General features: G+C 35.7%; 1 protein-coding gene and 1 long non-coding RNA gene across 9 annotated transcripts in view, besides 1 other annotated feature; one reads left to right on the top strand and one right to left on the bottom strand.

The window, feature by feature from the left end:
* The window catches only part of CTNNA3 (catenin alpha 3), a 1,851,072-nt gene that overhangs the window by 1,510,999 nt on the left and 317,723 nt on the right, over positions 1-22,350 (top strand). The window lies entirely within an intron of this gene.
* LOC124902440 (uncharacterized) lies at positions 124-17,500 on the bottom strand. Its single transcript, XR_007062173.1, has 3 exons — positions 17,415-17,500; positions 12,281-12,393; positions 124-196 (listed from the first exon to the last, which is right to left on the bottom strand). It is a non-coding gene; the product is annotated as an uncharacterized LOC124902440 (long non-coding RNA).
* Positions 10,533-10,702: an enhancer, noted in NCBI's record as "experimental_15319 CRE fragment used in MPRA reporter constructs". NCBI's record gives its function as "activates a minimal promoter by MPRAs in K562 erythroleukemia cells, with activity observed for the non-introgressed 10:68001737 variant allele {active_cell/tissue: K562}" and the evidence as "EXISTENCE:reporter gene assay evidence [ECO:0000049][PMID:34662402]".

The raw sequence follows: 22,350 nt of genomic DNA, 5'->3' as shown, positions 1-22,350 counted from the left end.
TCACATAACACCACATACCTGTACATGATAGCATTGATTACAATGTTTATCATATTTTGTGCTAGAATTTAAGGTCCAAAGGAAACCACATCCATGACTTTAAATCTCTTTTCTTCACTTCAGCATTATAAGACTTGACACATAGTAAATAATTAGCAGCTAGTTGTTGACTAAAGAAATGCATAATTGTCTGGCTCTGAAATTAAAAATGAGAAAGAAATATAAGAAAATGTTGATTAAAAGTAATTATTTTAATTAGAAATTGACTAAAATATTTAAACATTTGATGCCTAGGCAAATAAACTTGAAAATATGTTCTCTTCCTGAGAGGAGCAAGAGTCAGCTAAAAGAAAAAAAGAAAAAGAAAACAAAACATACGTTGTCAAGCTAAAAGGCTGTATCTGATACTTTGTTTAACCATCATAGAAACATTTGGGCAATGTAAATAATATATATATCATTGTCTTTTTTACTCTCATCAACACTGCCTTCTTTTCAAAGTTGCCCTTAATATATATTAAAACTTGACATATGTCTCAAAGAAGTGACTCTGTGAGATTAAATTGATGGTTTTCATATTTCATAGACTGATCTTAATAATGGTTAAGAGTATGGTCTCTAGATCAAACTGCCTGGAGTTTAAATCCTGGTTCCACCACTTAGTAGTTGTATTATGTTAGGCAAGTTGCTTAAACTCTCTGTAAGTGTTTCCTCATTTGCAAAATGGGGATGATAAATCTCCCACTGAGGATTAAATGCTCCAATGCAAGTTAAGCTCTTGGAACCCTGGCACAAATTAAATACTTAATAGTTATTATCTTATTATTTGAACAATGTTGATATTTCTAATTTCTGAGCTATCATGTTAAATAGAGTAATTAGCACTTCTTATATTCTAAAAATATTTTGATATAATGAAATACCATGAAACATTTATTATATAGCTGTAATATTATTATATGAGCCATATTACTATTGATATTTTCTATTATGTTTCAATTTGGTCTTGTGGAAATATTGGAATTTCTGGATTACAAGAGGTTGGCTCAGTGGATTTTACTCTACTATAATTGCCTTGGTAGAAATATTCAATATTTTGATGCCAATTTAGCCATGAATAACTTATAAAAATGTAACTCCAATCTAATTTTCAAGGGGGAATTTTTGGAAACTGATAAAATGACTAAAATTCCATCCTAACAAAGCAAAATCACCAAACGTCTAAGAAAAATCAGAAAGTAAAAGAATATGAGAGGCATTGTCAAGTATCAGATTTTTTTTTTTAATTTCAAAGGTATAATCTTAATCATTTGGTATTGCTTCATGAATACAAAGACTGATCAGTGTAAGAAAAGAGATGTCCATGGAAGAGACACTAATAAATGAATGTTTTAGGGCAGGCCACACAAGATGGCTGCTTACTACAATACTCTTTCTGGAGAGCCTCTATGTGCATGACATTTTCAGTTTCCTTCTAAGAGGTTCCTGGTGCATGGATCACTGTGTTTAGTTCCATGTGGTTCTGCAAGCAGAGCCAGGGATTATTGGAGCAGGAATCACCTCTCATTCAGTCAATCATCTGGAATAATCAATGGTCTACAAGGCAGGGCAATATGAGAGGTATAGAACATACAGTACTAACATTCTCCACTTCATATGGTAACTAGTCAATTCAATCAGATCCTTTGATGGTCTATGTTACCCTCTAGAAAATGGCCACATATAAATAGCAGTAATATTTGAGAAGTACAGAAGCTAAAAGATAGAGAAAAAGCAGTAGTACGGTGACATTATTAGACAGAAAAAGCTAGGAAGAAGCATAAATTAATTCCAGAAGCATTTGTCATGTCAAGAGAAGAAACAATAGAAGCATAGACAAAGAGTAGTTGAGTAGCTATAGAATATTGAATTGGGTAGCAAAAGACACCACTGATAATGATAAAACAACAAGGTTACTATAGCTGCAGTGTATCCAGATGCTATAAGAAATTTTGCTCCTGCCGTTCAAAAAAATTATTATTTTTAATTGTAGAGAGTACATAGTAGGTGTGATTATATATAGGGCACATGAGATACTTTGATATAGGCATGTAATGCCTAATAACCACATCATAGTAAATGGGATATCTGCCTTCTCAAGCATTTATCCTTGGTGTCATAAACAAATTGTGTACTCTTGTAGTTATTTTAAAATGGACAAGTACATTATTATTGATTATAGTTACTCTGTCATGCTATCAAATACTAGGTCTTATTCACTCATTCTTTCTATTTTTTGTACCCATTAACTATCCTCACTTCCCCCTAAGTCCCCAACTACCCTTCCCAGCTTCTGGTAACTATTCTTCTACCCTCTATCTCCACGAATTCAATTGATTTAATTTTTAGCTCTCATAAATAAGTGAGAACATGTGAAGTTTATCTTTCTATTCCTGACTCATTTCTTTCTATTTCTGACTCATTTCACTTAACATAATGACCTCCCAGTTCCATCCATGTTGTTGCAAATGACAGGATCTTATTCATTTTTATGACTGAATAGTACTCCATTGTGTATATGTACTACATTTTCTTTATCCACTCATTTGATGATGGACACTGAAGTTGCTTCCAAATCTTGCCTACTATAAATAATGCTGCCTACTATAAAGTGAAGTTAACACTTTAACATCCTGATTTCCATTCCTTTGGGTATATACCTTGCAGTGGGATTGCTGGATTGTATGTTAGTTCTATTTTTAGTTTTTGTTTGTTTGTTTCTTTGTTTGTTTTGAGATGGAGTCTCGCTCTGTCCCCCAAGCTGGAGTGCAGTGGTGCTATCTCGGCTCACTGCAAGCTCCGCCTTATTTTTAGTATTTTGAGGTTTGAGGAAACTCCAAACTATTTTTCATGGTGGTTGTACTAATTTACATCCCCACCAACAGTGTACAAAAGTTCCCTTTTCTCCACATCCTCATTAGCATTTGTTATTGCTTGTCTTTTAGATAAAAGCCATTTTAACTGGGGTGAGATGTTATCTCATTATAGTTTTGATTTGCAGTTCTCTGATGATTGATGATGTTCAGCACCTTTTCATATTCCTGTTTGCCATTGACATTTGTATGTCTTCTTTTGAGAAATGTTTATTCAGATCTTTTGCCCACTTTTTGATCAGATGATTAGATTTTTTCCTATAGAGTTGTTTGAGCTACTTATATATTCTGGTTATTAATCCTTTCTCAGGGGGGTAGTTTGCAAATATTTTATCGCATTCTGTGGTTGTCTCTTCACTTTGTGGATAGTTTCTTTGCTGTGCAGAAGATTTTTTAACTTGATCTGATCTCATTTGTTCTTTTTTGCTTTGGTTTCTTGTGCTTGTAGGGTACTACTCAAGAAATCTTTGCCCACACTCATGTTCTGGAGAGTTTCCCCGATGTTTTCTTTTAGTAGTTTTATAGTTTCTAGTCTTAGATTTTTGTATATGGTGAGAGATAGGGGTCTAGTTTTATTCTTCTGCATGTAGAGATACAGTTTTCTCAGCACCATTTATTGAAGAGACTGTCTTTTCCCCAGTGTATATTCTTGGCAACTTTCTTGAAAATGAGTTCACTATAGTTTTATGGATTTGTTTCTGGGTTCTCTATTATGTTCCATTGGTCTATGTGTCTGTTTTAATGCCAGCACCTTGCTATTTTGGTTACTATAGCTTTGTAGTGTTAATATAATTTGAAATCAGATAATGTGAGTCCTCCAGTTTTCTTTGTTGATTTTCTGCCTGGAAGATCTGTCCAATACTAAAAGTGAGGTGTTGAAGTGTCCAGCTATTATTGTATTGAGGTCTGTCTCTCTCTTTAGGGCTAAGAATATTTGCAATTTATATCTCAGTGCTCCAGTGTTTGGTACATATAAACTTACAATTGCTATATCCTCTTGCTGAATTGACCTCTTTATCATTATATAATCACTTTCTTTGTTTCTTCTTACAGTTTTCATCTTGAAGTCTACTTTGTCTCATATAAGTATAGCAACTCTTACTCTTTTTTTTGGTTTCCATTGGCATGAAGTATCTTTTTTTATTTCTTATTTCTGTCTGTGTTTATCTTTATAGGGGAAGTATGTTTTTTATAGGCAACAGATCATTGTGGGTTTTTTAAAATCTATTCTTCTACTCCATGTCTTTTTTATTGGAGAGTTTAATCCATTTACATGTAATGTTATTATTGATAAATAAGGACTTACTCCTGCTATTTTTTTTCTGTTTTTTTTTTATGATTTTCTCTTTCTTCTTTTCTTCCTTCCTGTCTTCCTTTTAGTGAAGGCAATTTTCATTAGTGGTGTGATGAATTTATTGCTTTTTATGTTTTGTGTATCTGTTGTATATTTTGATTTGAGGTTACTATGAAGCATGCAAATACTATCTTATAATCTATTATTTTAAACTAATGACAACTTAAAGTTGATGGCATAAACAAACAAATGAGAAAAAAACTAATAGAAATGCTACACTTTATCTCACTGCCTTTTAACTTTTTATGTTTTTATGTATTCTTGTACTATGTCTTGAAAAGATGTAATCCTTTATTATTTTTGATTGGTTCATCATTGAGTTTTTCTATTACCTAATACATAAAATAGGAGTTTATACCCTCAAATTACAGTGTTATAATATTCTGTGTTTTTCTGTGTGCTTACTATTACTGGTGAGTTTTGTATCTTAAGATGATTTCTTATTGCTCATTAATGTCCTTTCCTTTTAGATTGAAGAACTCCCTGTAGAATTTCTTGCAGGATGGGTCTGGTGTTGATGAAATTCCTCAGCTTTTGTTTGTCTGTGAAAGTATTTATTTCTCCTTTAGGCTTGAGGATATTTTCACCAGTAATACTATTGTAGGGTAAAAGATTTTTTCCTTCAACACTTTAAATATGTCATGCCACTTTGCCCTGCCCATAAGGTTTCCACTGAAAAGCCTGCTGCCAGATGTAATGTAGCTCTCTTATATGTTATTTATTTCTTTTCTCTTGCTGCATTTATGATCCTTTTTTTATTTTCAACCTTTGGGAGTTTGATTATTAAATGTGTTGAGGTATTCCACTTTCAGTTGCAGCTGCATGGTGTTCTATAACCCTATTGTACTTAAATATTGATATCGTAGATTTTGGAAGTTCTCTGAAATTATCCTTTTGAATTAACTTTCTAATCCTATAGAAAGTAGTGAAGCCAGTCATGTTTGTGTCCTTCTCTTCAGGATAGCAAATTCCCCTAAACCCCAGGCAGGTCCAGCAATGCTAGCTGTGAACCAGGGATTAGAGTCAAAACCCTTAGAAATCTACCACATGTTCTATTTTACTGTGGCTAAGCTGGCACTCAAACCACAAGACAAAGTTCCTTCCATTCTCTACTTCTTCTTTTAGCTCGATAACTCTTAGATTTGGCCTTTGGAGGCTACTTTCTAGGCCTAATAGGTATGCTTCAATTTTTAATACATTTTTTTCATTTATCTCCTCTGGTTGTGTATTTTCAAACAGCCTATCTTCAAGCTCAGTAATTTTTTTTTTTTTTTTTTTTTTGAGATGGAGTCTTGCTGTGTCACCAGGCTGGAGTGCACTGGCACAGTCTTGGCTCACTGCAACCTCCTCCCGGGTTCAAGTGATTCTCCTGCTTCAGCCTCCCGAGTAACTGGGACTACAGGCACCCACCACTACATCTGGCTAATTTTTTGTGTTTTTTAGTAGAGACGGGGTTTCACCGTGTTAGCCAGGATGGTCTTGATCTCTTGACCTCGTGATCCACCTGCCTTGGCCTCCCAAAGTGCTGGGATTGCAGACATGAGCCACTGCTCCCATCCCAAAACTCACTAATTCTTCTGCTTGATCAATTCTGCTATTAGGAGACTATGATGCATTGTTCAGTATGTCAATTGCATTTTTTCAACTCTAGAATTTCTGCTTTTTTTTTTAATTTCAGTCTCTGTTAAAATCATCTGATAGAATTCTGGATTCCTTCTCTATCATCTTGAAATTCATTGAACTTTCTCAAAATAGCTATTTTTAATTTTCTGAAAGTAATGGCAGTGGCTGCTCCAGATTGCCTGCTGTTGCCATCATGCCAGCTGCAGCAAGGAGGCATGGCCAGGGCTGCATTCTCCATGGAGCAGCTGGGAGCTGGGGACAAGCAGGAGCCCTGGCCCTTGCAAGATGGGGCAGGAGCTCCCAGGGTACTGCTGCAGCCAGCCAAACTGTGGCTGCAGACTCCAACCTCCAGCTCCATGGAGCCAGCAGGAGCCCCACCCCCCAACCCTGGGCGCAGTTGTGGCTGCCCAAATCATGGCTGCAGACTTAGACATCCCTGCACTCTTGGGGTCCCAGGAAGGCCCCCCTGCCCTCTCAGGATCAGAAGTGCCTGCTCCTGCTGCCTGGCTTTTCCCTGCTCTCAGTGTGGTGCCCACTCTGATCTTGGAGGAAAGTCAGGGCCAAGCCCAGGCACCATGAATGACAGCAGGAGGTGGACAGATTGCTGGGTGGAAGGGGGTACATCCCTGGTGAGGCCCCACCTTTGGGCCATAGAGGGCCTGAAAGCTGGGGCCTGGGCTGCCAGTCCCACAGACTAGAGTGGGAACTTGTGGTGCCTTTTCTGGGCCCACCAATGGTTGCCCATGAGCCAAATCAGTGCACACTTCCTCCCATTTGAGGCCCATAAAAGCCAAAGTCTCAGCCAGAGGTGAGCAGACAATGGGATGACCAGCTGCAGAGAGTAGTTACCTTCTCTGCTGAGAGTGGGAGATGTCAGTATGACCAGAACCTGAGAGGAGCTGCCCACTTTATGGCCTCCTCTTTGCTGAGAGCTTCAGAAACTTGCAGAGAAGTCAGGACTATCAGCTGTAGAGAACAGCAACCCACTCCAGGGCCTTCTCTTTGCTGAGAGGTACAAAATGATGGCATGACCTGCCTGGAGAGGAGCTTCCCACTCCTTGGTCTCTTCTGTGCTCGGAGCTGAACACTCATCAGGATACCCTGCCTGCAGAAAGGAGCTACCCTCTGTGGGACTTCTGTGAGCTGTTATATTGCTCAATAAAATTCCCCTTCATCTTGCTTACCCTCCACTTGTCTGCCTACCTCATTTCCTCCTGTTGCAGGACAAGAACTTGGGAGCCACTGAATGGCAGAACTAAAAGAGCTAACACAAACAGGGCTGAAACATGTCCCTTGTTTGCCATGTTGCAGGAGAAGAGAAGAAGAGCTGTGGCCCCTCAGGGATCCCAGACCTGGGAGCTCCCAGAGTCAGGGCTGTGACTCCCTCTTTGGGTTTCTGTAGTTCCTTGTGTCTCTGAGCTTCTGGGCACCAATGTGCTTCCAGGGCCAGCCAGGGAAGCTGCTTGCAGTGTGCCTGGTTCAACTATGCCTTGCAGAGAGCCAGCACCTGTAGCTGTCTGCCCCACTGCAGCAGCTGGCATGTCTGACTGAGCAGTGGCCGGACCCCACACTCACTCACCCACCCCTCATTGCTCTATTGCTGACTCACCCTTGGCAGGCATGGGATCTAGGCTGGTAGCGTGAGCTGAGCACAGCCTGCCAGGCAGGGTGGGAAGAATGAGCCCAGTGCGCCCAAGCAAAACTTGGGCAAAGGCGCCACCAGGCAGAGGTTTCAGGCCAGAAAAGCAACACCCCAAAGATCCCGTAACAAAAGGTCACATATCTCTCTTTCTCCAGGATTGGTCTCTGGTGTCTTATTTACTGTGTTTGGTGAAGTTTTCTTGGCTGGTCTCAATGCTTGTAAATGTTCATCTGTAGCTGGGCATTTAAGAGTTAGGTATTTGTTTTAGTCTTCACAGTCTGCCTTGTGTGTACCCATCTTTCTTGGGAAGGCTTTTCAGATATTAAAAATGACTTCGACATTGTGATTTAAGCTGTATCTGCTTTAACGGGGACCCTAAGCCCAGTTACACTAGGGTTATTGCAGCCTCATAAATGTGCCGCCTTTGTTGTCTTGGATAAGATCCAGAAGAATTCTCCGAATTACCAGGCAGATTGTTTTTCTCTTTTCTTACTTTCTCTCAAATGTTGTTTCTCTCTGAGCTGAGCCACTTGGAGCTGGAAGTGGGATGACACAGGGCCCCACTGTGGCCACATCACTGGAACTGCCCTAGGCTAGACCTGAAATCAGCACAGCACTGGGTCTTGCTCAAAGCCCACTGTAACTACTACCTGGCTACTGCCTATGTTCCCTCAAGGACCTAGGGCTCTACAGTCAGCCAGTGGCAAAGGCAGCCATGTTTATGTCCTTCCCTTCCGGGTGGAAAGTTCTGCGCAGGCCCAGATGGAGATGCTGTCTGGAAGCCAGGGATTGAAGTAAAAAACGTTAGAAATCTACCTGATGTTCTATTCTACTGTGGCTAAGCTGGCACTCAAACCACAAGACAAAGTCCTTCCCATTCTTCCCTACCTCTTTCCATAGGCAGAGGAGCCTCTCCCCAGGTCCATCACCACCATCAGCTTGTGGAGAGTTCTGCCAGGCCACTGCCAATGTTCATTTAAGACCCAAGGGCTCTTTAGTCAGCTTGTGGTAAATGCTACAAGGTCTGGGACTCACCCTTTAGGGCAGTGGGCTCCCCTCTGGTCCAGGGCAGGTCCAGAAATGCTGTCCAAGAGTGTAGGCTTGTATTGGGGACCTCGAGAGCACACTTGGTGCTTTAATCCACTGTGACTGAGCTAGTACCTGAAGCCAGCATGTCTCAAAGTCTCACCCAAGGTCCATGGCATACTACCTGGGTATTGCTGCTGGTTATTCAGGACCCAAGGGCTCTTTGGTCAACAGGTGGTTACTGGGTTCTTCCCTTCAAGGGAGCGAGTCTCAATCAATTTACAAGTTTATTTTGCCAAGGTTAAGGACACGATCATGACTCAGCCTCAGGAGACTCTGAAAACATGTACCCAAGGTGGTCAGACTATAACTTGGTTTTATACATTTTAGGGAGATGTAAAACATCAATCAATACATGTAAGATGTACATTGGTTTGGTCCTGAGAGGCAGGACAACTCAAAGCCGGGGCTTCCAGATCATAGATGGATTCAAGTATTTTCTGTTCGGCAATTGGTTGAAAGAATTTATCTAAAGACCTAGAATCAATAGAAAAAAAGGAATGTCTGGGTTAAGATAAGGGGTTTGGGAGACCAAATTTCTTATTATGCATATGAAGTTTCCAGGTAGCAGGCTTCAGATAGAATAGAGGGCAAATGTTTGTTATCAGACTTAAAAAGGTACCAGACTTAGCTAATCTCTCCTGGATCAGGAAAAGACCTGGAAAGGGAAGAGAATTCTCTACAGAATGTTGATTTTCCCCACAAGAGGCAGCTTTACAGGGCTGTTTAAAGATATATCGAAGAAATATATTTCAGGGTAAAATACTTCAATTTCTTACAGGGCCTGGTATATGTCATTTTGTGATGTATCTGATTGCCACAAAGAGTCTGTTTGGTCAGTCTTAAGATCTCTTTTTTAATGTTAACACTGATCAATTGTGCCTGAATTCCAAAGGGAGGAGGGCATAATGAGATATGTCTGACCCCTCCTTCCCATGATGGCCTGAACTAGTTTTTCACATTTACTTTAGAACATCATTGGCTGAAAGGGAGATCCATTCTATCAGTTAGGGGGCTTAGAATTTTATTTTAAGTTTACACTGTTCAATTGTATTAACATGCCTCAAGAATATTTATCCATTCTTCTATTAAAGGATGTTTAGACTTTTCTCATTTTATGGACTATTATGAATAACAATGCTATGTACCTACTTACACATATTATTTCATGGAATTCAAGGGAATTTTTATTTCTCCTGCTTAAATTTTATTGTTAGTAATGAATTGCCAGGGTGAGGGCTAAATATATGCTTAATTTAAGAAACTCCTCTCCAAAATATTTGCACGATTTTACACTCCCATGAGCAATACATAAGGGTTCTGACTGGTCCACATGTCAACATTTAGTGTTATCAGTCCTTTTGATTTTACTCACTCTTATAAGTGTAAAATAGTATCTCCTTATGGTTTTAATATGCATATTCCTGGTCATATAGGATGTTGAGCATTTTTTCATTGCTTATTTTTTTATCAATAATTTTTCATATTTTTACTTTTGGCAGTTCTTCGTATGTTCTTGATAGCAGTCCTTTGCTGAATATGCGTACTGTCAATATATCATTTTCGTCTCCAATCTGTGTCAGTGGCTTGCTTCTCCATTTTCTTAATGGTGTCTTTTAATAAGTGAAAAGCTGATTTTGGTGAAATCCAGTTTAGTTTTATTTTTAACGGTTAATGCTGTTTTTTTCTCTCTTTGTATTAATCTATTTTCTGTTGTTTCAGGTAACAGGATACCTCAAACTGGGTAATTTATAAAGAAAAGAAATTTATTTTTTACAGTTATGGAGGCTAAGTCCAAGGTCAAAGGTCCACATCTGGTAAGGGTCTTCTTGCAGATGAGGGCTTTCTGCAGAGTTCTGAAGTGGCACAGGGAATCACATGGCAGGGGGGCTGAGCATACTCATCATCTTAAGGCCCCACCTCTTACTGCTGCCACATTGGGGATTAAATTTCAACTTGAGTTTTGGAGGAGACAGATATTCAAATCATAGCAGTCTTGTCCTAAATTAAAAATAATAATAATTAAAACAGAAAAACTGGCAGCTCCAAGGTTTTGAAAGTATTCTCCTGTATTTTGTTTTAGGAGTGGAATGGTCTTAGATTTATATTTGGTTATATTAGATTTTTAGTATTCCCATGTATTTGGAGTTTTCTAACGTTATTTTAATATTTTAATTTGATTTTACATAGGTTTTTTGCTTAGGTTAATATTTAAGACAATTATTTAGGTCTTACCCCTTTTCGTTTTATTTGGCAACCTCTGGTATTCAAATTCATGGTTTCTTTCTATAGCCATATCATTGCCCAGTTAAGTAGCTCACGTGAGGAGGTGGGGGGGCTGGGGGTGGGGGGATGTTTAATTGTTCTTTTCTGGCCACAGTCACATAATAGTCTCACTGTGTTTGTGAATCTAATGGCTTTTGATTATTTCTCAATTTCTCAGTTTTCTGATTTTAAATGATTTCCGATTATATTCTCCTAAGGTCTTAATATCCTCAAAGATATGTTGTAAGACCATTTGAAGGAAATTTGTAAGATTTACTTAACTTTGTAATTGGAACAATAGCTGAGATGATTGAAAAGGTCAACCTTTATTTTCCTTAATTTTTTAACTTTCTATTTTGAGTTACTTTGAGATTCACAAAGAGTTGTTAGAAAAAATATAGAAACATACTGTGTATCATTCAACTGTAACATCTGGCATAACTATAGCACAATATCACAATCAGAAAATCAACAGTGATACATTTCATTGACCTTACTCAATTTTGCCAGTTTTACATTTACCCAATTGTGTATGAGCATTTATTTTGTTTTTTTTTAACCCTTTTAAGAAGACAATTAATATTTAAGGTTTTGTTTGTTTGTGGTTGTTCTGGTTCAGTATGAATGAGTTTGAAGGGCTCATTTTTCTTCTTCTCTACCTGAGTTTCTCATTCTTATGTGTAAGGCAATCCATGGGTCACTACATGCAAAACATTGTTTTTGTCCTTATTTTTATTTGAAATCCTTATATTTCTATTTCCTAAAAACTTGTTATTTTCTCCTTGACTAAACGGTTTCTTTTCTTTTGTAAATCACAGCATTGACAAATTTTATATAATACTAAACAATGTTTTTCCATTACTTAAAAAACTTTTGAGGTTGCTTAGATTACTCTTACCACTGTTCTTTGTTTACATCATTCAATATATTTATTTACTCAAAATTCATCCTTTGGTTCTTGATGTCTCTCTTCTTTGTTATCAAAGATTTTCTCTTCATTTTTAGCTTGATGTTTTTAAGCAACATTTTCAGTTATCCCTGTTTTTCAAACTTTCCAATATTTAGAGATGTGAGGTTTCTGAGTTTGCTCCCAATCTCTATTTTTAAAACTTTATTTATTTTTTGTTAGAAAAAAGGTTAACAAAGAGCATCTGTTCCTTTAATTTTGTAGTCTGTTCCTTTAATTTTGTAGTACTATAGCGCATCTGGTAACCCAGTAGGCTATTTGTTTCTTACAGGGATCTGTAGGTATTATAAAGACTATTATTTGTTTTGTCCGGCTAGTACATATTCAGAAGCCCAAAGATGAAAACATGTGGATGATACAATGCTTAAGGTTAAGATAACTGTGTTTTATAAACAGAAAAAAAGTGTGATAATTTCAAATGAGCCGTTTACATAAGTTAATGTTGATGTTAGAGTTGTGATTTGCATTTCCCGATTTTGGTTCTTCATTTGAAATGTTATTGATTTATTTCCATAGGGCTTTACTTTTAGAATCCTGGAGTTTCCTAAGAAAATAGAAAGGTAGAAAGTGGCAATTATAGCCCACATTCCTACTAAGCAGCTATAAATGCTAAAATATGCTGATATATCAATTACCATTATAATAAAAATACAAAAATATAAGTTACACAATGTAGGCAATGTATTTGTTAACACTTATGGATATCTATAACTATAGATATAGATTAATCTATATAGCTCTAGATTATTATATCTATACCATAGATATCTATACCATGTAGATCCATCTATATGGTATAGATAAAATAAATTGGCCAGAGTTTTCTACTTTAGTGTTTATAGTTTCTTTTTTTTAGAATAGTGGGCAGAGGAATTTAAACTAAACACATTGGGCAAAGATAATGTATAGGATTTTGTGTCAAGGAAAAATGCCCAATTTAACAGTTAAGTAGCCTAGTAACATATGCCACAGCAACATGTCTTGTCCCAAACAATGCGCATAGTTGAAAGAGAATACGAAAAAAACAACAAACCAGTATCAATGCCACCTGAAACTCATAAGGGAAATGCTTAAAATGTTCCATGTAAAACATATATGAAATATGTCCACCTCAAAGGATAATTTCAAAGTAAACTGTGAAATGCTGCTAGTGTTGTAATTATAGCCTCATTTTATTTCTGAATGATGATAAAGTGCTTTTGTTTTTGTTGATGTTGTTGTTGTTGAGAGTGCCTAATCTATTAGGCTTTTTCAACACAGTTTCTGAAAGAGGCTATCGAAAGACAATTGTAGTACTAGTCCATTGCAAAAGTGAACAGTCTACCCACTGATTTTAAGGGTAATATACCCCAGACTGGGGAGCAGAAGATTGGGCATAATCATACCTTAGCTTTTTTCAATCTCCAAAGTTAAAAGAATAAAAGCAGAAGACTAGCATACATTATATTTTAGAATTAAAATAAAATGTAATTAAATTTAATTAATTAATTATATTTTAGCATTAAAATAAAATGTAATTATTTGTAAAATCAATTGACTAATTAAATGTACTTAATCAATTAATTATAAAATAAAATTGTAATTAATTGATTAATTGATTATTGAAAACTACCATGTTTCCAATACTCTTATAAATATATTATAGTTCTTATTTCTTTTCCTTTGCCATTGCTTAACTCTTGGACCATATTATATACTTCTGATAGATGCTGTCATATATAACCCTGTATTTCATTTGTCATTTCATTTACTGAATGGCATTAGAGTTTCTTTGTTGATTCTCCATTAACTATAACCTCCTCATAAATACAAACCATATTCATCTTACCAAGGTATTACTGACAGTATTTTTCACATTGGAAAACAAAGGATGCTTACTTCATGGTCACATAAAACAATTATTTTTCTTAAAAATTATCCAGTAATGCATGTTTATAATTGAAACATTAGAAATTATATTTTAAAAATGTAAGAATAAAATCATTTGTAGTCTTATCACCCAGAGATAACTATTTCAAGTGTTTTCTGTGAAGATATTTGAAAAAAATTATATATATATATATATTTGGACATTTATTAGTATTCCAAAATGGGATCAGATTATACAAATTATTCTCCAATCTGTTTTTACTCCCATTTAAGTCTGCCACCCATACCCTCATTATTGCTCTCTAAGTTAGTCATCGCATGCTATTTTTACTGTGTATTTCACAAATATTATGAAGGCAAATCTTTTATTGGCTGTCTATACAACTATTTCTGGAATCTGGTAAGACAAGAAATTTGAGTTTACAATAATTTTTTTTGTGACAACCTGATAATTTCAAATAACTATTATACTGAAATTCTAGATTTCTCATAAAATAAACGTGTCTAAAACTTATCTGTAAGATGACACTATAACATTATAAAATAATTACTATCACCTTCAGCTTGTACAGTGGGTTCCTGCTCATTAAAGATCCCTTCTTTCAGACTTGAGTTATTTAATATTTATAACCTGATGTACCCCTCTCCCCGCCTCAGTAAGATCCAAGGAAGCAGGAGTTGGATATTTAAATTTCATCACTTTTGCTTCCCCAATTAAAAGAATAAAAAGCAAAAACTATAGGGTGAACCTGCTTTATATTTTGGATTTGAAATAAAATGTAATTAATTAATAGATAAATCTATCTTTTAAATATGGACTTGTCTTTTCCTTCAAGTAGCATGAATTTGATTATTTTATATGTTGAAATAAGCATAGTTTCTATGACAATTTAGAAAAAAAATTTATCATTTATAGCAAATGATTTGATTTGAAAATGCATAGAATAAATTTATTTTCTTAGAAGAAACCACAGATGCAAGAATTTGGGAAAATAACTCATTGTAATAAATGATAAACCCACTGTACCATAATGTCAAGTATCAAAGCATTGATATGGACTTTGTATGATTATTTAGAATTTTAAATTTAGTTAATACAAGACTTGACTAATGTGCTGTGCAATTTTGTAAATTACTGATACTTTGAAAAAAATGGTTATAAGACACTTTTAAATGATTGGTTTATTTGCTGCCATTTTTATGGTTGGAACTCAGTCTTACGTAGCCCTAAAAGGCAACTTCTGAATCACCACTATTGTAGGTCATTATTGCAATTGTAATACTACATATTCACACCCCTTTTAAAAAAAAAAATCACAAAACTCTATTATGTACTTGGTGTTCTGAGAAAAGTACAAAGCAAATGTTGAAGCCAATCATGCTTCAAATTGCTTAGAAATATCTCTTGTATTAAATAGTCAGCATTTCGGGCCAAGGAGGATCGAATAACAAAATATACACGTCATCATGTAAAGCCATTGCTTGATCTTAACAATTATGATTTTATTTCTTTCAAATACAACAATTCCCCTGATGTTTCAAGTAGCAAGCCACAGAATGCTATAAGAAAATTGGGAAGGCACAAACCTTTGCTAATATTGTACATTACTTTTCTATTGGTGGGTAGAGAGGAAGCCATCCTGCCTTCCATATACATATTCAGTGGTTGAATATAAAATCTCTTTCCTTTTTTATAATTGTGGATATAGATTTAGATATTTCATATTCTTTTTTTGGGTTATTATTATGATCATTAGTTTTTCAGACATGACCTTGCTCTGTTGCAGTGGTGTGATCATAAGCTCATGGCAGGCTTGAACTCCTGGGCTGAAGTGATCCTCTTGCCTTAGCTTCCTGAGTAGCTAAGAATACAGGTGTGGATCACCATGCCCAGCTAATCTTTTTAAGTTTTTTTTTTAATTTTTAGTGGAGACATGGCCTCACTACATTGCCTAGGCTGGTCTCGAACTCTTGGGCTCAAACCGTCCTCTCTCCTTGACCTCCTAAAGTGTTGGGATTGTAGGTGTGAGCCACCATGCCTGGCTGTATTTGAGGCTTTTATCAACTATATGCAGCTAGTATGTATGAAAAAATAAACTTTCAAAATCAACAGCTAAACAAATCCTAAATGAACAAAAGCATGTTGGAAAGATAAACCTGGAAAAATATTTTTTCTTTGTATCTCCTGTGTATTTTTTCTCTGAAAACCCGATAAATTATCATAAAGTTGAAGAGGGTGGGAAAACAATTTCAGAAACAAAATATAAAATTGCTACTGATTTGATGATTTTACATTTTCCTTAAAAATTATGGATAGTTCTGACTTTAGATTTCCCAAATGCAATATATTTTATAAAAACTGACAGGTGACATTCCCTCTAAAAAGAAGAAATTGTGCTTCCTCAAGGAAACCTACCAAAATATCTTACAGATTAAATATTACTAAATATTTAGATAATTGTGGCAGCTTCAAAATATATTCAATCTGTCTATTTCATTGCCACATAACTAGTTTCAAGTGTAGCTTTCCTGAGAATTTGTATGCTTGCTATATGTTTGTATCTTGTCATTTTTGTAATTGGTTGGTCTAATTCTGTAAGACAACTGATCTAGGAAACAAGATAAAAGTAAATAAAGAAGAGATACTTTATTCATAAGAAAACTTGTGTTTAGTTCTGACTTATCTTTCTTTGAGCTTTTCTGTATCTCATTGTCTCCGTTTGTTCCTTTGTTTTTCCATTCTTACTTTTCCTAATTTACAGGTATTAAGGGAAGATAAAGATACACATCTTTGTCTTCTTCTCAATGAGACTACAAACAACCCAAGGGGAGAGACTTAAAATTTCCTTTGTCTTTTCCATAGGTAGAGTGACCTCATTTTCCAAAACCAAAAATGGGAAATGGATGTGTCAAAAGTGCTACTATGAGAAAATAGACGTGAGAAAAAATGTTTTTAGTCAAATCATCCTTAAAAAATAGGACAGATGGACAATTTATTCAATGTATATGAGCATTCTTTGGATCTTATAGACAATGATAAATGGACATTAAAATAAAACATAATCTGAAATCTTGCTAAATCTGGCCCTATTAATTGTCAGATTAATAGCTTTGTTCATTTTTATCATAACTATCTGGGTATTTGCCTTTCACACTCCAATATCGGATATGTTCATGGCGGATCTATTTTCTTATTTACTTGCTTCCAATTTAACTAAATATGTGACCAAACTACTTAGAACTATCCACGAAAATTCTACAAATATACTTAAAATTAGTTGACTCTTCTTTGGAATGTGAAACTAGTCACTTAAAGAAGGCATTAGGTAGCTTTGAGATATAATTAGGCTATGATTATATGTGGTTATTTTAAATAACAATGATGATTAATAAAATAATTATTTTATATGTCAATTTATTTTATATATCAGGATAAATAATTTTATAAATCCATAAGTTGGTATTATATCTTATATGTAATAGAATATTAATAAAACTATAATAAAATACATTTAATAATAAATTTATAGTTATTTTTAATACCATAGATAATACCTTTAAAAACTAAAAATTGGAAATAAAATTTTAAAGCATGAAATAAAGAAGCAGCACAATTTGATATATTGTATACTTCTTATTTTTTACTATGTAACATTACTACCAAATTTAGTGGTTTAAAACAACGATATTTATTACCTCTCATTTTCTGTGGATCAGCAGTCTGGGTATAATTTGGCTTATCCTGTCTGAGGACCTGTCACAAGACTGCAGTTAAGATGTCAGCTAGGGCTGCTGTCTATCTGAAGGCTCAACAAGCGAAAGGTCTGCTTCGAAGCTTACGTGGTCATTGACAGAATTCAGTTCTTCTCAGGCTGTTAGACTGATTGTTGGACAGAGACTACTTTCACTTCCTTGTCATATGTGCTGATCCAAAGAACAGGACACAGCATAGCAGATGGCTTCAATTGCAGGAATCAAATGAGAAAGTGAGAAAGAGCCTGTGAAGGAGATTAAAGTCACAGTCTTTTGGAAGGTAATCTCGGAAATACCTCTCACTTTTGCTTCATTCTGTTCATAAGAAACAAGTTAATAGTTCAAGCCTATACTCAAGAGAAGGGAGTTTTGCATAGTTGTAAATAATAAGAGGAAGGGATCTGTGGGGGCCATTTTAAAATTGAGTTACTACACCTTGCAAAATAACAGTTGATTCTCATGATACTTTTCACCTGCCTTAGGGATGTAGGTCACCATTTAAGGATTTCCTACTTCATGTTGTCAGTCTCAATCAAATACTTGTAACACAATTTTATAAAAATTAGATCTTTTATATCAGACACGCAACTACAAATCATATATTATGTATGTGGGGTGCATAACAACCGTAAAAGTTTCTCAAAGATCAATGTTCAATCATCCTTCACACACATATCTTGAATCCAGCAATATTTTCCAGGCATGTGTGTGTTTGGCTGTATGTGAATGTGTTTGTCTGTGTGTATGTGTGTATCTTCAACTCTAAGGAGCACAGGAGTCCTGCTGTTTAGTAGGGGGAGACAGATTCTTGTTGAAGAACCATACCTGATTTATGACCAAATATATATATTTTTGGATTATTTATTTGGTAAACATGTTGTTGAAGTGTAACATATGTAAAAAGAAGTGTAAAATAAAAAATATAAATGACTTTATATAAAGTGAAAACACCCATGAAAGCATTCATGGATTAAGAAGTTGAATATTATCAGTACCACAAGAAATATACTTTGTGTGCCTACCCAGTCATTAACCTTTTAAAAAGGAGTCATTTTTCCCTATCACCACAAATTAATTTTGCCTGTTATTTTTTAGTTTTATATAAATGGAACAGAGAACATATGTACATTTTTACAACAGGTTTATTTTATTCAAAATAGTTTGTGAAATTCAACTATGACATTTTGTTTAGTAAAGATTCATCCATTTTCCTTACTGGAAAAGCATTCTAAGTTTTTAACAATTATTAATAATGCTGCTATGAACATTCTTATACATGTGCTTTAACACACATTTAAGTACATTTTCAATTCCACCTGGGAGAAGAGTTCTTAGATCATCATCAAGTATAACATATTTAGCTTTAGAAGATACGGCAAGTTCCAAAGTTTTATATATATGTTTAATCCACCAGAAGTGAAATAGTATTGCTTTTTAAGTTGGTCCACATTTTGGCCAACACTCAATGATATCAGTCCTTTTAATTTTAACTATTCTAGTCTATATGCAGTGCTGGAGCACTGTAATATGCATTTTCTTGATAAATATGGAAGTTGAGAACCATTTTATGTGTTTATTGATCATGTAAATTTCTATTTTGTAAAGTACCTATTTAAGACACTCATAAATAAGTTATCTGATTTTTAAAATTGATTTATAAGACTTTTACATATTCTAAATGTTATTCATTGGTCTGATGAGTGTAATGTGAATATCTTCTTCTACTCTGTGGCTTACTGTTCACTTGGTAGCTTATTTTAGAAAAATAATTTTTATTTTAATAAAACTAGTACATCAATTAGATGTTCCCTTTATGGTTAGTGATTTTTGTGTCCTGCTTAAAATATAATTGCTAAACTTTAAGGTCATGAAGATACTGTGTAGAAACTTTATTGTTTTTCCTTTCATATTTAAATGTATCATACACCTGAAATTTTTTTTTTTTTTTTTTTTTTTTTTTTTTTTGAGGTGGAGTCTTGCTCTGTCACCCAGGCTGGAGTGCAGTGGCGCGATCTCGGCTCACTACAAGCTCCGCCTCCCGGGTTCACGCCATTCTCCTGCCTCAGCCTCCCCAGTAGCTGGGACTACAGGCGCACACCACCACGCCCGGCTAATTTTTGTTGTATTTTTTAGTAGAGATGGGGTTTCACCATGCTAGCCAGGATGGTCTCGATCTCCTGACCTCGTGAGCCGCCCGCCTCGGCCTCCCAAAATGCTGGGATTACAGGCGTGAGCCACCGCGCCTGGCCTGAAATTGATTGTTGACAGATGTTGCAGAAGGTAAAAGTTAAGATACAATTTTCCCCATGTGGATATCCTATAGACCTAGTAACAATTATCAAATCAATCATCTTTTCTCTTTTTACTTCAAGGTCAACTTTGTAATAAATCAAGTGATTGTATAAATGTTACACTATTTCTGCTCCTGGATATATTTTTAAATTCCATGTAATGTTTGTCCTTGCACTAGTATCAGTATATATCTTCCTCCTTTGTTCTTCCTATTCAGTATTAACTTGGTCATTTCTGGATCTTTTCTACTTAAATTTTAAAATTATTTTTTAAATTTGCACAGAAAAGTCCTGGGATTTTTATGTACATTGCATTGAATCTATTGACTAACTTGAAGAGAACTGAAATCTTTAAAATATTGAATCAAAATTGTATTAGTTTTAATTTACTTAAATTTTAAATTTATTAGTTTTAAATTACTTAAATTTTAAAATTATTTTTAAAATTTGCACAGAAAGGTCCTGGGATTTTTATGTACATTGCATTGACTCTGTTGATTAACTTAAGAGAACTGAAATCCTTACAATATTGAACTAAACTGTATTAGTTTTCTATAGATGTATAGCAAGTTACCACAAATTTATCAGCTTAAAACAACATAAATTTATTATCTCATAGATTTTGTGGGTCCATAGTTTAGGTGCATATTGTCTGGGGTTCCTGCTCAAAGTCGAACTAGACTGAAATCAAGGCATTGGACAGTGTCTGATTTTGGGGGAAGTTATTACTCTCTTTAGGATTAACTCTGAAAACCTCAACTGTATGTAATTAGAACACACTGTGGGTTGTATTTCATTAGATATTCTTGGATCTGTATCTTCTGTTTAGACTGGGAAATTAAATTTCTGTTTAGATGGTGAAACAGAATTTAATCCTTAGCAGTAGCAGTATAGCATTGAGATAGTTTATTCAGTAATACTAATTTGATCTTGTAAAATCAGAGAGTAAGGAGGAGGAGTAGAGAGAGAATGGGGGCTTTGTTTGTCAGCTAATTGTGAAACTGTCAGCTTTCTCATTGTTGGTATTCTTAAAAATACAGCTAAAGCATACACATGTCTGTGGATAATTGGATAATAATTGCTAGTCTATTTAGTTTTGCATTTAGCTTCTCTAGTAAAGAGGGAGGATAAAATAAAGTAACTTTATTAATTTAAAATATATACCCATTCCCAGATATTTTATTTTGTTTTCCCTTTACCCTGAAATGAATGTGCTGACTAAAACCACTAATTACATTGTATAAAGCTATCTTAGTGTATAATGAGGGAAAACAGCATCAAAATCAGGAGCCAAGAAGTCAAGCTCCACTTGGATCAGGTTACAATCTTAAACCTCCATATTCTGGAAGGATTCCCCCTTCCCCATGAAATGTTTCAGAGGGACAACTGCTAGATATTAGAATATTTCAAATGACTTCATCAAAGGAAAAAAAAGCACTTTACGATTCAGTAAATCTTATGATTTTTTTTTCTATTACGAAATATCAAAAACCCTCTGAGGCATAGATACTAGGGTTATATAGTATCATATATGCATATAGAGAAAATGAAGTGTCTGGCCAGGATTGTCTGCAAGCCAAGAGGAGCTTTCCACTGCAGAAAAAAGAAAAGCAAGAGATCCTCAGTAGTCCACATTCCCACGATGAATACTCACACTCCTACTAACAGGAGAGCTTCACAGCCATTGCAGGAGCTGAGTCAAGTATAGAGAGCTGCCTGGAGTCCATGCAACTGCATTGTCCCAGAAAGAAAATTCACATTGGGTCCTCTTCACCTCCAAAGACCCAAGCTGCCACAGCATGGCCCCATTTTTAGAGAAGAGCCACCACCTGAGTTTATTCTTCCCTGGGGCCCAATAGCCCCTGCACCTCCATATCCCTGGGGCTTGCTGACCTTCCACCTCATCTACCAGGAAAGCTGCAGCATCATGACAAAAGATGAACATAGTGGTGCAGCTGTAACTTTGTTACCAGAGCCCAGGCAGAGCTCTATACATCAGGGCATAAATGATCCAGCACACTGGGAAGGCAGCCCTCAGGACATAGTGACCTGACACACTCATTCCCCAGAATCCAAGAGCCACCTGCCCAGGGCTTTCCATCACCATCAGGGACCCTGCTTCATCCAAAATGGGGCCATCACAAGACTGTGCACGCTCTCCATAAACTTGAGGACTGTCCCATGAGGAGCCTGTCACCGCCACAGGCAATCTTGACCCCTCCACAGGCAACGTGACTGTGCACCTCTGTGGGCTCTCCTGGAGACCAAGGACCAACCAACCTGGCATCCCTGTCCCCAGTAAAGCTCTGCCACAGATTTCACAAATAATTGCAGCCTAGACCGCTGATGCACTCTCAGACACTGATGACATTGATTACAGCTTTAGAAATCATATGGATAATATACAACAGTGCCCACCTAGAACCTTAACCAAAGCACTCTATCCAACCCACATTATTGAAAATATCTACAGGAAAAAGTCTTTCCCTATTAAAACTATTACATAAAATTGGAAGAAGGGACTGTCCTACAAGATCTTAAATATCAATTTAAGAACAGGAAAAACATGAAAGAGCAAAGAAACATGG

The sequence above is a fragment of the Homo sapiens genome, chromosome 10, assembly GCF_000001405.40.
Source record: "Homo sapiens chromosome 10, GRCh38.p14 Primary Assembly".
Taxonomy (NCBI): domain Eukaryota; kingdom Metazoa; phylum Chordata; class Mammalia; order Primates; family Hominidae; genus Homo; species Homo sapiens.
Note: the sequence above shows the minus strand (reverse complement) of the source record. Positions and strands in the feature narration are given on the sequence as shown.